At 38.1% G+C, this 15,245-nt stretch overlaps 1 long non-coding RNA gene across 1 annotated transcript in view; it reads left to right on the forward strand.

Moving 5' to 3' along the window:
• DLEU1 (deleted in lymphocytic leukemia 1) overlaps positions 1–15,245 on the forward strand; it is a 446,475-nt gene that overhangs the window by 342,582 nt on the left and 88,648 nt on the right. Inside the window, exon 4 of the long non-coding RNA NR_109974.1 lies at positions 8,663–8,800. This is a non-coding gene — a long non-coding RNA (deleted in lymphocytic leukemia 1). The remainder of the gene's footprint in view (positions 1–8,662; positions 8,801–15,245) is intronic.

Raw genomic sequence — 15,245 nt, forward strand, 5'->3', positions numbered from 1 at the left:
AAGCCCTCCTGCTAAAAACACTTGGAAATGCCAGCTAGACCATAACAGACATTTTTTTAAAGTGCATAGTTGAGCCTCAAGAAAGTAAAAGAAATACCCAGGGATACAAAATAGAGAGGAATCTGAAAATTAGAGTAGTGACAGGTAGGTGTTGTTTTGGCTGCCTTTTATTTTCAGTAATTAGAGAGTTTGGGTTTAATAGCCTTGCAGGTTCTTAGACAAGCCATGAGGCTGTCAAGAGGTGAGTTGTTGGACCTGAGATCCCTCCCTGCACATGCCTAAAGGTGACACCCGCGAATCCTGTTCTCAACTACCTGATTGCTTTGAGTCTCTCTTTCCTTTCACCCATTCTGCAACTTATTCAACAAATATTCATTCAGTATTTTCTCTGTGGCCAGCACTGCTCTAGGTTTTGTCAAAGGGGGGATTCTGATCATTCATACCTCACTCTGTATAAGCCAAGGTATGATTGCTTAACAAAGTGTTTTGAAGACTAGATTTCTATACAAACCTGTTACAGTCCTATAAGAGTTGCATGGATAAAGTGCTGATCTCAGCCCTGCTGCTCCTTGGTGAGACCCTCAGCCACTTCTTTAACCTCTCCAGCAGGAGCTGGCTTGGCTTCAGGATATAGGGTACATCCTTCTTACTCCTAGGAAATACTTGTTTTCAATCCCCCTGGGTCTCAGCATGTGCCTTCTCATTCCTGAGGGCAGCAGCCTTTATAAGAGAGTGTGTGAAGCCTTGGAGACCCATGCCAAGAGGGTGGGCTTTCACCAGAGGTTGGCTCCTGGACTCCCAGTCACCCCATATCTTCATTTCCTCAGGAACTGTCCCCACCACCACTGGCTAAGGGGTCTGATGGATATCATGGAGAGCCCCCAGAGATGTGAGGTTGTTTTTCAGATCCTAGAATTGGAGATAGAAGGAAGACAAGAGAAGACCAATGAGCTTGACCTGTGAAATTCAAGAGTAGAGGGTAAGGAGAACTCTGAGAGCCAGAGTGTTGGCACCACCATCCTTGTGCAAAGGTTGATCATCACCAGGTTAATCCTTTTGAAGAGAAAGGCACAATGCAGAGGAGCCCTCCCCCTCCCACTGCTGAAAGTCTGGCAATGTCAGATACAGTCCAGTTCTTATAATTTGGGGTGCTGTAGGGCTGGCTGGGATCTCAAGTGCCTGCTTTGAGACAGAGTAATGAAACAGGAACTTGGGGGAGTTACTCTCTGAACCTCCCATGGGGGATGGAGTTTCTCTCATAGAGGCCTTGCTGCTGGAGTCTCAGGCCTGTAAGAAGAAATTCTAGTTTTTGAGTAATTTAAGTGGTAACTTTAAGTTCACTGAGAGTTGCACTGAAGGCCAACTTTTTCCTCTAGTGTAATTATTCAAGAGCAACCATTTGTTGGCAAAAAAAAAAAAAAAAGAAAAAAAAGAAAAAGAAAACTGTAAAGGCCTGGGCTGCAGTAGTTGGAGCCCATCTGTCTACGGCCTTTTTTCAAAGCTTGGGAAAACTGAACTTGTGGATAGGCTCAGTTGGAGTTTGGGTCATTGGGGAACCATGGTTGACAACTATTTACCGTTCAGTCAAGAATATGTTTTCAGGTCATTTGTTCAGCTCTGTGGTTCCCCTTTGGGGCATGGGCTACTTAAAATTTTGTAGAAAAATAAATCCATCTCCCTTTAAAGACTGGCCTCCTTGTTTTTGTTAGAAGCCAGCATAGATTTTGACGCCAGACAAATATGTATCTGTACGTTTGGGCATTGCAACTTACTAGTTATATGAACTCAACTATATCTCTTAAATTCTCTTGATTTCCTCACCCTTAAGATGGGGATGCTTGGCTTGTTCCAACAGAAATTGGATGTGTTGGGATTTTGGTAACTTCTATTTTGTGTGTGTGTGTGCTTCCCAGGACACTTTAATACAAAGTACAAAATCAGGCTTACTCTTAGCTCCTTGTTAATCTCTTCTGGCATGCAAACAGAGAGGTGAAGTTCAAGGGTAGGGGTGTATAGTAAGTAGACAAGGACCCTCAAGCCTAGCTATGGGACTGGGGGAAACTGCCATACAGAGCAGCAATTTTCTCTTGGAAATCCATACTCAGGACTTATCTCAGAGACATTGTCCACAGATAATGCTCATAACAACTAAAAACTAGCAGAGCAACCAGAAGTATAATATAAATTTGGTTTGACAGTGTTAAATGGCACTTGGCAGAATCAGTTCTACAAATCACTAGGTTAAGCAATGTTCAATACAAGTTTGGAGTAAATGAATACTCACTATGCAGAGCCAAAGATTCATTTATATATTCATTCACTGAATAATTAGATATTTACTGAGCCACTGCCAGGTGCCAAGCCCAGCTCTCAATACAGGGTGTGTGTTAGTGAAGACTGCAGAGAGCTGCCCTCCCAGGGCACAGTTCCAGTCAGGGAAACAGACAAATTAAGAAATAAAAATGTGACATAATAAGTAGTGATAAGATATTTGAAAAAAAAAAGTGAAGCAGGGGAAGGGATTAGGGAGTTGTTTTTTTTCAACAGAGAGGCCAAGGAAGGCCTCTCTGAGGAGATGATGTTTGATCAGAGACCTGGATCAAGTGAAGAAATGACCAACTCATGGGGAGATCAGAGGGGAGCAACACCAATAGCCATAAACCAGGATTGTCCCAGGAAAACTAACACCTGTGGTTACCCTATAGACCAAGGTGAGGACTTTGGATTTTATTCTAAGTGTGAGGAGAAGCTTCAGGGAGGGACGTGATCTAATTTGTGTTTTAAAAAGACCTCTCTGGAAGGTAGACAGCAGACACAGGGAAACCAGTGAAGAGGCCATCACAGAAGCCCAGGTGAGAGATAACAGCTCAGCCTCACATTGGGTTTGGCTTACACCTTTTTTTTTTTTTTTTTTTGAGGCAGAGTCTCACTCTGTCACCCAGGCTGTAGTGCAGTGGCGTGATCTTGGCTCACTGCAAGCTCCGCCTTCTGGGTTCACGCCTCAGCCTCCTGAGTAGGAGTAGCTGGGACTACAGTGCCCGCCACCATGCCCGGCTAATTTTTTTGTTTCTGTATTTTAAGTAGAGACGGGGTTTCACTGTGTTAGCCAGGATGGTCTCGAACTCCTGACCTCGTGATCTGCCCCCATCAGCCTCCCAAAGTGCTGGAATTACAGGCGTGAGCCACCACACCTGGCAGGCTTACATCATTTTTATTAGACTCTACACAGAACTCATCCTGAGGCTCGGCCCTCTCATTCTTTCCCAAAGCAGAATTATTTGCCCTCAATATTAAAGAAAATTAGAGGATCATTGATTCCAAGGACGGTACTGGGCCGGTGGAGGATGTGGGTTTCCCTGCAGTGTCTCACTGCCCTACCTCCCTTGTCCTCCCCGAGCAGCATAAAGGTCTCAACCCCTCTTCGTGCTCTTCATTGTCATTGTAGATTATTGGTTCCAGAATGGAATGTCCTCTCCTTTTCTCTTTCTGTTTGTAAATCAAAAATTCCTTTTGTCTTCCAAAGTAACTTTGAGCATGCAGCAATTGTATCTCTAAACAGCCCCATCAGGGACATTCTGTATTTTGTTGGAGTTGATCCAAAGGTCCTGATAGATGAACTTCGAATTGTCTTTTAATGGTCCTCAGAAAAGTTTTATTAGGTACATGGTGGACCTGGGGAAACTTGTTGGGACTTGTAGGTTATATAATTCTTTTAGCTTCATTGCTAGGATGCTTGGGACTTTTAACCATGACTTCATTGCTCTTGAATATGGGTTTCATGCATCTGGTTGCTTGGCTGTTTTCAGAAAGTAGGGGTAACAGTCCCATCAATGTATCATCTTTTCCATGATTAGAAAAGAAACCTGAGAATGCTTTCCTAGCAAGTATGTAGACACAGTTTCCTCCAACACCTGTTCTTTCAAGTCATGAGACATTTGAAAATAACCACACAAGTTCCTGCATCTGAGCCTGTCTTTTGAATATCTGTTTGAGCAACATGAAGTTTTGCTAGTGTGAGCTAATGTCAGCATGCACCCTCCTCCCCACTGCCTGTGGATTCAAGTATGGCAAATGCCTGTTGATTTGGAATGACCAGGAGATGGCTTATTTTGGTTCTGTATCATTAATCAACAGATGTGTAAACAGATTTTTAAAAGTAAAATGCCTAATGTCACATTGCTATTACATTAAGGAGCTAGGATTCTGACTCCCTTTTCTAAACATTGATCCACACTGTGATGCTTTGGAAAATTTAAAAATTATGCAACAATGCACTCTCATTGTGAAAAAAATGAGAAAACATAGATGGAAAAAAAGAAATGAACCTCAAAAATTCCACTATTCAGCGATAACCACTGTTAACATTTTCAGGCACTTCTTTTCAGTTTTTTTTCTACAAAATGTAATTGCAAATGCATTTTCAAAGATACTGCTTTACAATTTCCTTTTTCCCTTTAATAATATTTTGGGTTTTGTTCATGTTCTTCTAAATCAGAACATAGATCTGCATTATCATTTTAAAAACTTGCATTGTTTTCCATTCCAGGATGCTAGTACTATTTATTAAATATTTCATTATTTTTTTCTCCTCCTGAGCTTGACTACTGTATTAGTCTGTTCTCTTGTTGCTAATAAAGACATACTCGAGACTGGGTAATTTATAAAGGAAAGAGGTTTAATTGACTCACGGTTCCACACAACTGGGGAAGCCTCACAATCATGGTGGAAGGCAAGGAGGAGCAAGCAGGCAAGAGAGAGCTTATGTGGATGGCAGCAGGCAAGAGAAAGCTTGTGCAGGGGAACTCCTCTTCATAAAACCATCAGATCTCCTGTGACTTATTCACTATCAGGAGAACAGCACAGGAAAGACCTGCCCTCATGATTCAATTACCTCCCACTTGGTCCCTCCCATGACACGTGGGAATTATGGGAGCTACAATTCAAGATGAAATTTGGGTGGGGACACAGCCAAACCATATCAACTACCAATTGATTAACCAAATCCCTCAGTTTTAGAACATTTGTTGAATGTTAATAATATTTCAAGTTTGCGCTATGCACTTTACATATGTTATTTCATTTAGGTAACTTGCTTACAATTTCTTGATATTACTGACTATCCTTATTCTCTGTATACCTTTCTGTAGGATTGTACACTGATTATTTAAGGGCTTTTCATAAATATTGCCAGAGTATGCTCCAGAAAGGTTCTAACAATTTACATTCACAAAGCACAAAGCATCCAGAGTGTTTAATTCTCTACATCCACACAATCAATGGGTATTATCAACTTTTAAAATCTTTTCTAATCTTCTAAGGAAAAACGGTAACTCATTCTTTCACCTTGGAATTCTTTGATCACTAGAGAAGCAGAATTTTGTCTCTTGATGTATTCATATTTTTCTCTAAAATATTTTAAATCCTATATATTTGAACATATTAAAAAGTATATTTTGGCCAGATGTGGTGGCTCATGCCTGTCATCCCAGCACTTTGGGAGGCCGAAGTGGGCAGATCACGAGGTCAGGAGATCAAGACCATCCTGGCTAACACGGTGAAACCCTGTCTCTACTAAAAATACAAAAAATTAGCCAGGTGTGGTGGCGGGTGCCTGTAGTCCCAGCTACTCGGGAGGCTGAGGCAGGAGAATGGTGTGAACTCAGGAGGCAGTGCTTGCAGTGAGCCAAGATCGTGCCACTGCACTCCAGCCTGGGCGACAGAGCAAGACTCCGTCTCAAAAAAAAAAAAAAGTATATTTTAATTATATGTACTCACATGTACATAATTTCATCAATGCATGCCTTTAAAATCATGAAGTTCTCTTTTTATTGCAATTTTTTTTGTTTGCTTTATCCTCTTCTTCTTTCCTTTTACATCATCCTTTCTGTCCCTTAAACAGCCTTTAAAACAACATTGAATGCATCTTTCCATATTTTTATATGTCCTTATATAATCCTTATATAATGTATGACATACATGCATACACATACACTATATTATATACACATGTATGTGTGTATATATATATATATATATATACAGTTTGTTTTATAGATTTTTTTAAAAAGTGGGATCATATATTACATATTTTTCTGCATCCTGCTTTTCTCACTCAACAGTACCTCATTTGAAAACCCTCCAAGTTGTTTGATGGAGTTACAATTTATCATTTTCAGTGACTGAAATTTTTTAAAGGCATGCTCCTATTGATAGGCATTGCTTGTGTTTCTGGTTTTTCTTTTTCTTCTACCACTACTAACAATGCTACAGTTAATATCTTTTAACATATGTCTTTACAAAGAAATTGATTTTATGGAACACACAGGAATGTTATTGGTAAGTGGCCTAAGTGTGGATACGTGTTTTACCCCTAAGAAATGATGCCAGATTGCTTTGCCCGAAGGTCCAAACACGTCCCTTCCCAGGAGCAATCTCAGAGAGTACCCATTTCATTATGTCCAGCCAGCAATAGCTGTTATGGCATTTCAAATTATCAGTCTGATGGCTGTAGTGATAATCATATTGTTACTGTAATTTGCATATCCATGGTTACTGCTTGTGAATTTGTATATCTTTTCATTTGTTTGTTTGCCATTGATTTACCCATCTGTGAATTGTCTTTGCCCATTATTTTATTGGGTTACATTTTTCTTATGTATTTCTAAGAGATTTTTGCATACTATAAATAAACTTTTATTTTGTTTTATTTTATTTTTGAGATGGAGTTTCGCTCTTGTTGCCCAGGCTGGAGTACAATGGCGTGATCTTGGCTCACTGCAACCTCTGCCTCCTGGGTTCAAGTGATTCTCCTGCCTCAACCTCCCGAGTAGCTGGGATTACAGGTGCCCACCACCACACCTGGCCAATTTTTGTAAGTTTAGTAGAGATGGGGTTTCACCATGTTCACCATGTTGGCCAGGCTGGTCTTGAACTCCTGACCTCAGGTGATTCGCCCACCTCAGCCTCCCAAAGTGCTGGGATTACAGGTGTGAGCCACCATGCCTGGCTGAAAAACTGCTAATTTTTAAAAATATTTATTTTGAATTCAGAAATTAGAACAAATTTTAAAATTAATTTTACAATTTTTTACTAAAATTTTTGATTTTTTTTTCTGTGCATGCAGGTATACAATCATGTAACCACCAAAAAGAGTTTTTTTCTCATCTTTCCCAATACTTGTGCCAGTTGTTTTCATGTTATGTATACTATAATACCTATAATAGTGTTGAAATAATGTGAAACATAATCTTTATCTAGCTATGATTTTAAAATTTGCCGCTAGCTTTTAGGAAATTTCTTTGTTGAATTTAAGTGGTTTCTTTCTAGCCCTATTTTAGTTAGGACTGGCTACTGAATTTCGTCAAATGCCTTTTAAGTATTTATTGATAGGACATGTGTTTTATCTTTTACTTTTTTGCTGCACTTAATTCAATGGATATATTAATTTCCTGATGTTAACCAACCGATTATTCCTGAAAGAGACTCAACTTAGTCTTTTGATATATTGAGAGATTCTCTTTGCTAATACTTATTTAGAATTTTTGCTTTTATAGTTATAAGTCAGATTTATTTCCAGTTTCCTATTTTGCTTCCATTTTTATTGAGTTTGGACACTGGATTTTAAAATTCTGTTCCAATGGTCTATGTAGCTGTTTTAATACCAGTATCATACTACTTTGGTTACTATGGTTTTGTAATATATTTTGAAATCAGAAAGTATTGATGTTTCCAGCTTTGTTCTTCTTGATCAAGATTACTTTGGTTATATAGGGTCCTTGGATAAAGAAAATGTGGCACATACACAACACAGAATACTATGCAGCCATAAAAAAGGATGAGTTCATGTCCTTTGCAGGGACATGGATGAAGCTGGAAACCATCATTCTCAGCAAACTATCACAAGAACAGAAAACCAAACACTGTATGTTCTCACTCATAAGTGGGAGTTGAACAATGAGAACACATGGACACAGGGAGGAGAACATCACACACCAGGGCCTGTTTGGGGGTCGGGGGCTAGGGGAGGGAGAACATTAGGAGAAACACGTAATGTCGGTGATGGGTTGATGGGTGCAGCAAACCACCATAGCACATGTATACCTATGTAACAAAACTGCACATTCTGCACATGTACCCCAGAACTTAAAGTATAATAATAAAAACAAATAGTATATGTAATAGGGTCTTTTGTGATTTTAGGATTTTTTTTTTTTTTTTTCTGTAAAGAATGCCATGCATTGAATTTGTGGATCACCTTGGACATTTTTACAACATAAATTCTTCCAACCCATGAACAAGGGTTGTCTTTCCATTGGTCTGTGTCTTTAATTTTATGCATTAAATTTTTACAGTTTTCAGTGTACAAATCTTAACCTCTTTGGTTATGTTTATTCCTAAGTATTTTTTTTATTTTGCTATTGTAAATGGGATTGTTTTCTTAATTTCCTTTTTGAATAGTTCATCGTTAGTGTATAGAAATATCATCTATTTTTTGTGTGTTGTTTTTGAATCCTGCAACTTTACTGAATTTGTTTATCAGTTCTTTCTGTGGAGTCTTTAGGATTTACTTTATATAAGATCATATAATCTGCAAACATAGGCAATTGTACTTATTTCTTTCTGATTTGGCTGCCCATTACTTTTTTTTTTTTTTTTTGTCTAGTTGCTCTGGCTATATCAAATAAAAGTGTCAAGAGTGAGCATCCTTGCCTTGTGCTGAATCACAAAGGAATACCTTTCAGTTTTTCTCCATTGATTATGATAGCAGTGGGCTTTTCACAGTGGGCTTTACTGTGTTGAGGTAAGTTCCTTCTGTACCTATTTTGTTGAGTTTTCATTACGAATGATGTTGATTTGGTCAAATGCTTTTTCTGCATCTGTTGAAATGGTCATGTGGTTTTTATCTTTCATTCTGTTAATATGATGTAACACCTTGATTGATTTGCATATATTAAACCAGCCTTGCATCCCAGGAATAAATTCCAGTTGTTCATGGTGTATAATCTTTTTGATGTGTTGTTGAAAACAGTTTGCTAATATTTTATTAAAATTTTTGCATCCATCAGAGATATCAGCCTTAGTTTTCTTTTCTTATGGTATATTTGATTAGCTTTGGTATTAAGGTGATGCTGGCCTTGTAAAATGTGTTTGGAAGTATTCCCTCTAGTTACATTTTTTGGAAAAGTTTAAGAAGGAATGGTATTAATTCTTCTTTGAATGTTTGGTAGAACTCAGCTGTGAGGCCATCTGGTCCTGAGCTTTTCTTTGCTGGGAGGTTTTAAGTTACTGCTTCAATCTCTTTATCTGTTATGGGTTTGTTCAGGCTTTTTCTTTCTCCCTGATTCAATGTTTGTGGTTTGTATTTTCCTAAGAATTTATCCATTTCCTCTAGGTTATCCAATTTGTTCATATGTAATTGTTTATAATAGTCCCTTATGATCCTTTTAATTTCTTAGGTATCTGTTGTAATGTCTCCACCTTAATTTCTGATTTTATTTATTTAATTCTTCTTTCTTTTTTATAGTTAGTCTGGCTAAGGGTTTGTCAATTTTATCTTTTCAAAAAATCAACTCTTGTTGATTTTCTCTATGATTTTTCTATTCTCTATTTGATTTATTTCTGCTCTAATCTTTATTGTTTCCTTCTGTCTGCTAATTTTGATATTGCCATTATATATCAATTTGGGGAGAACAATTTTGAGTCTTCCAAACTAGTTTGGTATATATCTCTAATTGTGTAAATATTCTTTAATTTTTCTCAGTAATATTTTATATTTTTCTGTTTATAGATCTTGCAATCTTTTGTTTAATTTATCCCTAAGAATATCTTTATGCAATTACAAATATTTTAACATTTTAACTTCCAAATGTTCATTGCTTGTGTATGAAATAAAAATGGACTTTTTGCAAATTAATTTTTATCCTACAATCTTAAGTTTATTTATTAGTTCTAGTAGCTTTTTTTGTAGATCTGCTGGATTTTCTACATAGATGATCATGTCATCAGTGAATAACAATAGGTTTACTTCTCACTTTCAAATCTGGATGTCTTTTTGGAGAGAGTTAGTATAGAATTGATTTTATATTTTCTTAAATGTTGGTAGAATTGGCCAGTAAAAGCATCTGGGCCAGAAGTTTTCTTTGGAAAGGTTTTTATCTATAAATTCACCTTTTGATATAGATATAGGACTAATGAGGTTACCTATTTTTTTCTTGAGTGAGCTTTGATAATTTGTATATTTCAAGAAATTTGTCCATTTTTTCCTTATGTTGTTGAAATTATTGACATAAAATTGCTCATAGTATTCCCTTATTATCATTTTAATAACTGTCACATTTGTAGCGATGTTATTTTTCTTGTTCCCAATATTGTTAATTTGTTAAAGTGTGATTTCTATAAATGGCATGTCATTAGGTTGTGTTCTTTAATCCAGCCTGACAATCTCTGCTTTTTAATTAGGATGTTTAGACCATTTACTTTTAATGTTATTACTGATATGTTTAGGTTTCTTTAAAATTATTTTATATTTTTAGAGACAGGGTCTTTCTCCATTGACCAGGCTGGAGTGCAGTGAAATGATAATAGCTCACTGCAGCCTCGAACTCCTGGGCTCAAGCAGTCTTCCCATCTCAGCCTCCCTAATAGCTGGAATTACAGGCATGAACCACCATGCCCAGCTATGTTTTTAAAAAAATTTTGTAGAGATGGGGCCTTGCTATGTTGACCAGGTTGGTCTCAAACTCCTAGCCAAGAGTGATCCTCCCACCTTGGCCTCCTGAAGTGCTGGGATTACAGATGTAAGCATGGTGACTGGCAGATATGGTAAGATTTATATCTATGTTTCTATTTGTTTATCTGTTTTTTATTCTACCTTTCCTTGTTTTAATTATTAAGATATTTTTGGGCACTGAAAGTCTTATTCATGTAAAATCAGAACTTCAATTTTATATCGAATCCAAAATTTCTTCCCTGACCATGTGCAGATGATCAGTGGCTCAAGGACCCTTTCCTTTTCCTAGATCTTTTATTTTTCTTCCCCCACTATTTCCAGTGCTCAGGCTTCTCCAGGGTTTGGATTGGGAGAAGCTTGATCAGAGTGAAGAAGGCCATGACTCTTTTTATTCAACAGTAGCAAGAGCAACCCAAATCTTTGTTTTTACATTATTTATGGCAGTTTCAAGTGTTTCGCTGATTGAAAGCTTTAGCTATTAAAAAGAAGACCCTGGTATTAGTCTCTTTACAACTGTTGCAAGCCTGTTGAATTTGAATGCTAAGAGACAATGTGTGTTAGAGCTTGGTGTACAGTTGCTTACCTTAAATAGATTAGGCATTAGTAATTTAATTCTTCACTGAGTTTTACCATTCTGAACTAAGATACAATGTTGTTAAGGTAATGAGGGCTATAGTAACACAGCAAGAAAAAAAATCTTAATAAAAGTTTTTATTTTTATTTTTTTGGAGACAGGGCCTTGCTGTGTCACCCAGACTGGAGTGCAGTGGTACTATCTTGGCTCACTGCAACCTCTGTCTTCCAGGCTCAGGCAATCCTCCCACCTCAGCCTCCTGAGTAGCTGGGACTATAGGCACATGCCACTATGCCCAGCTAATTTTTGTATTTTTTATAGAGACAGGGTTTTGCCATATTGCCCAGGTTGGTCTCAAACTCCTGGGCTCAAGCTATCTGCCCACCTCAGCCTCCCAAAGGGCTGGAATTATAAGCATGAGCCACCATGCCTAGCCAATAAAATTATGTTAACATCTATGTAATGTCCAATATTGGTTCTCTTTCAATGGCAATTATCTTCCAAGTAGTCATTTATGGCTCCTTATTGGGCTTCTTCCATCTCTGGCTCTGCCATTTTTGACCTAGGGCTTCTAAGGTTGCCACACCCATCTACATCAAGCTGACATTGTTCCAGAAATTTTTTATAGGCTAAGTCCTGGGGATGGTATACATCACTTCTGTTCATATTTCATTGGCTGGACTTCAGTTATGGCTGACTTCAAGGGAGGCTGGGAAACTGGGGCAAGAATAGAAAATGCTTGGTGAACAGCTAGCTAGTTTCTGTGTAGGAGTGTTTTTTGTTATAAGGATTTTACAGATTTAAATTTAAATTTAAAAGTCCATGAACATGGTTTTTCATCTCTGTCTTCTGTGGTAGTATGTTGACATCATATGGCCAGGTCACTCACCACCCCCTCCCCCCACCATCCCCAAGGAAACTCAGTCTCAATAAGGACATTTCTTGGGGAGGGGGAAGGTAGCTCATCACACTAACACCAAAGCTCTCAGAAGTTGCAAAGCTTGAATTTTTAAGAAAATGTAAAGGGACTACAGCTTTATAATGAGCATTTTAAACAGAAAAGAACAGATTTAATAGAACTTTTATTAAAGTCAAGCAGCGATATCTTCATACTTCATGCTGAGAATTTTTTTCTTTTTCTTTAACTCTTGAATGTCTTTTTAATGATTTTTAACAATTTAAATGTAGAAACTTATGTTCTATTTTCTAGAGTTTTGATTTTAGACAAAAAGGCATTTGTATAAAGAATCCTTTAGAGTGTTTATACAGAGCTCTATGTTTAGTATTTTTCTTACAAATCTCAATCCCCTGGAGTCATGGGGCACTCAGAGCCCAGGGACTCAAGTTCACCATTAGTTTAATGGTTTTGACCTCTGCTCTAAAGTGGATTTGTACAGAGAGTCATGCCTTGCATGTCCCAGAGTCATTAGCTTGGCATGAAATGGTTCTACTGCTTATGTTGCAGTATAATTGTTTCTGAGTTGGGCTTCTGTAAAATGATTATGTCTACTCGAAGACCTGAAGAATTTAAGAGCAATCTGCTCATGGGGTGTCAGTATTTGAGGGCTGGCAACTGGATAATCTTATGTGTAAGATAGAACCTAACTTTCTCTACTCATTTAGTTACCTAGGGTACTGGCTCACTTAAAGATTTGAGAGGCATCTCTTTTCAAGATTAGTATTTCCCACCATGGCTATGGAAACAGTTCTCTATGTCGGCCAAGCCAGCTCTGAGCAATCTTCTGGGAACTTAATATTGTTTATTATTGAATATTTTGTTCATTAATTTGGGGTCCTAAGTATGTCTCAGCTTTTTGATATAATGTCTCCAATAGTGATATTTATTTTAACTCATATGCTAGAAGCCAAAGCTTCATTAATTTGACAATGATTTGCTACATGGTTAACAGGCCAGGTGTCTAGAATAAAAAATCTGCATCAAATAACTTTTGAATGACAAGGTGACCATATTCTGGCCAAAGGGAAGACTTAAATTGAATAAATAAATGTTGTAGTATATTAGAAAGTGGTAAATGCCATGAAGGAAATAAATGGGAGTAGGAAGTTTAAGGGTTGGTAGATATTGCAATATTAAATATGGTAGTCAGGGAGGATGTTATTGATTATGTGACATTTGAACAAAAACTTAAAGGAGCTGAGGAAAGAGCATTCCAGGCAGAGATGAGAGCAAGGATGAGGCCTTTTAAACTGACTTATTTGAGGAACAGCAAAGAGGCCAACTTGTGTTACTAGTGATAGAGAATGAGGAGATCCTGATAGGAGATGCGGCCAGAGAAGCTGAGTTCTGGGGTGGGAATAGGGTGAGGGGAGCAGAAGAGAGTAAGTCCTGACTAGGAGCAACACCTGAATTTTGTGGCATCCTGGAGGCCAGGCAGAGAAAATGTGTGGAGGAGGGAGTGATGGACTATGCCAAAAGATGCTGGTGGGTCACACGAGGTGCAGTCTGAGAACTGACCACTGGGTTTAGATTTGCATTGAGTAAGTGTAGTGGGATCAAGAGTGAATGGGAGGAGAGAAAGTAAAGATTATTTTTTTAAGAGAAGTTTTGCTGCAGTAAGGTGGTACAAATCAGAAGCAAAGTTGAGAGAGCTCTTTTACTTTTAAGAAGGGAGAAATCATGTGATGTTTGTATGCTGATGAGAATAATCCAGGGGAGAGGGAAAAATTGATACAGGAGTGAGAGGAGAGAATTGATGAAGGTTAGAGAGGAGGGATCTGATGCATGAGAAGAGAGATTGGCCTTAAATACAAGCACGGCCAGTGTATCCATGAGGAGGGCAAATCAATGGGCATGGACGCTGGTAGATGGGTAAGTATAGAGATGGGACCATGTGGACTCTTCTAATTGCTGGTAGGTGGGTAAATATAGAGATAGGGGCATGTGGACTCTTCTAAAGCTTTCTTAGCACAACAAGGAATAAGAGCATCATCTGGGAGCAGGAATGAGAGAGGACTTTGAGGAGAGAGGAGAAGTAATTGTGAGAGAAGGGAAATGAATGGGGCAAGGGGTGTTATTGTGATTGCTCAGCAGCATTTTGGTGGTCATGTCTACGAAGGACTTAAAGACAGGTAAGAATTGAGGTGTGAGAGGTAACCAGGGGTCAGATGTACTAGAGCCTTTTGGGCTGTGGTCATGACTTTGGATTTCATTCTGAGTGAGATGGGCAGCTGTTGGAGAATTTGAGCAGTGGAGTGACACTATCTGACTTAGGTTCTAAAAGGATCACTTTGACCACTCTGTGCAGAATATTTTGCAGGAGCAGAAGCAGGACCAAAACTAGTTCAGCAGTCTAAGAGAAAGATGATGGTGGCTCCAGCTAAGGTGCAAGTGGTGAAGGGGAGAAAAAGAGCTGGATTTGAGATAAATTTTGAAGGCAGAGCTGACAGGAATTGTCAATTAAAAGAAGAGTGTGAGAAAGAGGCATTAAGGATGAGTTTAAGATCTAATCTTGAGCAATGCATAAATACTAGTGCTAATTAGATATCAGATTTCTCAGTCCCCAATACACCTATAAGATCAGCACAAACTGAGCTGGCATTCTTAGCCATGTAGCAAAATGATCCCCATGTAGACTGAGGCAGTAGTCTCCTTCAGGTTAATGTTGCTAATAGCCTCATATTTCAGACACAAAGGAAGCAGGTTTTGGCATGAACATGGTATGCAGGAGGTTTAAGATGTGTAGTTTTTCAAAGTATTTTAGCATATTTTCTTTTAATTTTATAATTCCAAGATATATTAAGTAGATACCAATTTAACCTACCTTCTGGAAATTTCTTCTTTCAAAAAATGACAGAATTTAGTTAATAGTCTGGCACTCGTTAGAGTTTTCCCAACAATAAAACAAAGTGTATTTATTTTAATGGGAAGTTCTGCTCTGTCCATTCAGTATTTTAATGTTTTCACTTTTTCCTTCTTTAAAA

Source organism: Homo sapiens, chromosome 13, assembly GCF_000001405.40.
Source record: "Homo sapiens chromosome 13, GRCh38.p14 Primary Assembly".
NCBI lineage: Eukaryota > Metazoa > Chordata > Mammalia > Primates > Hominidae > Homo > Homo sapiens.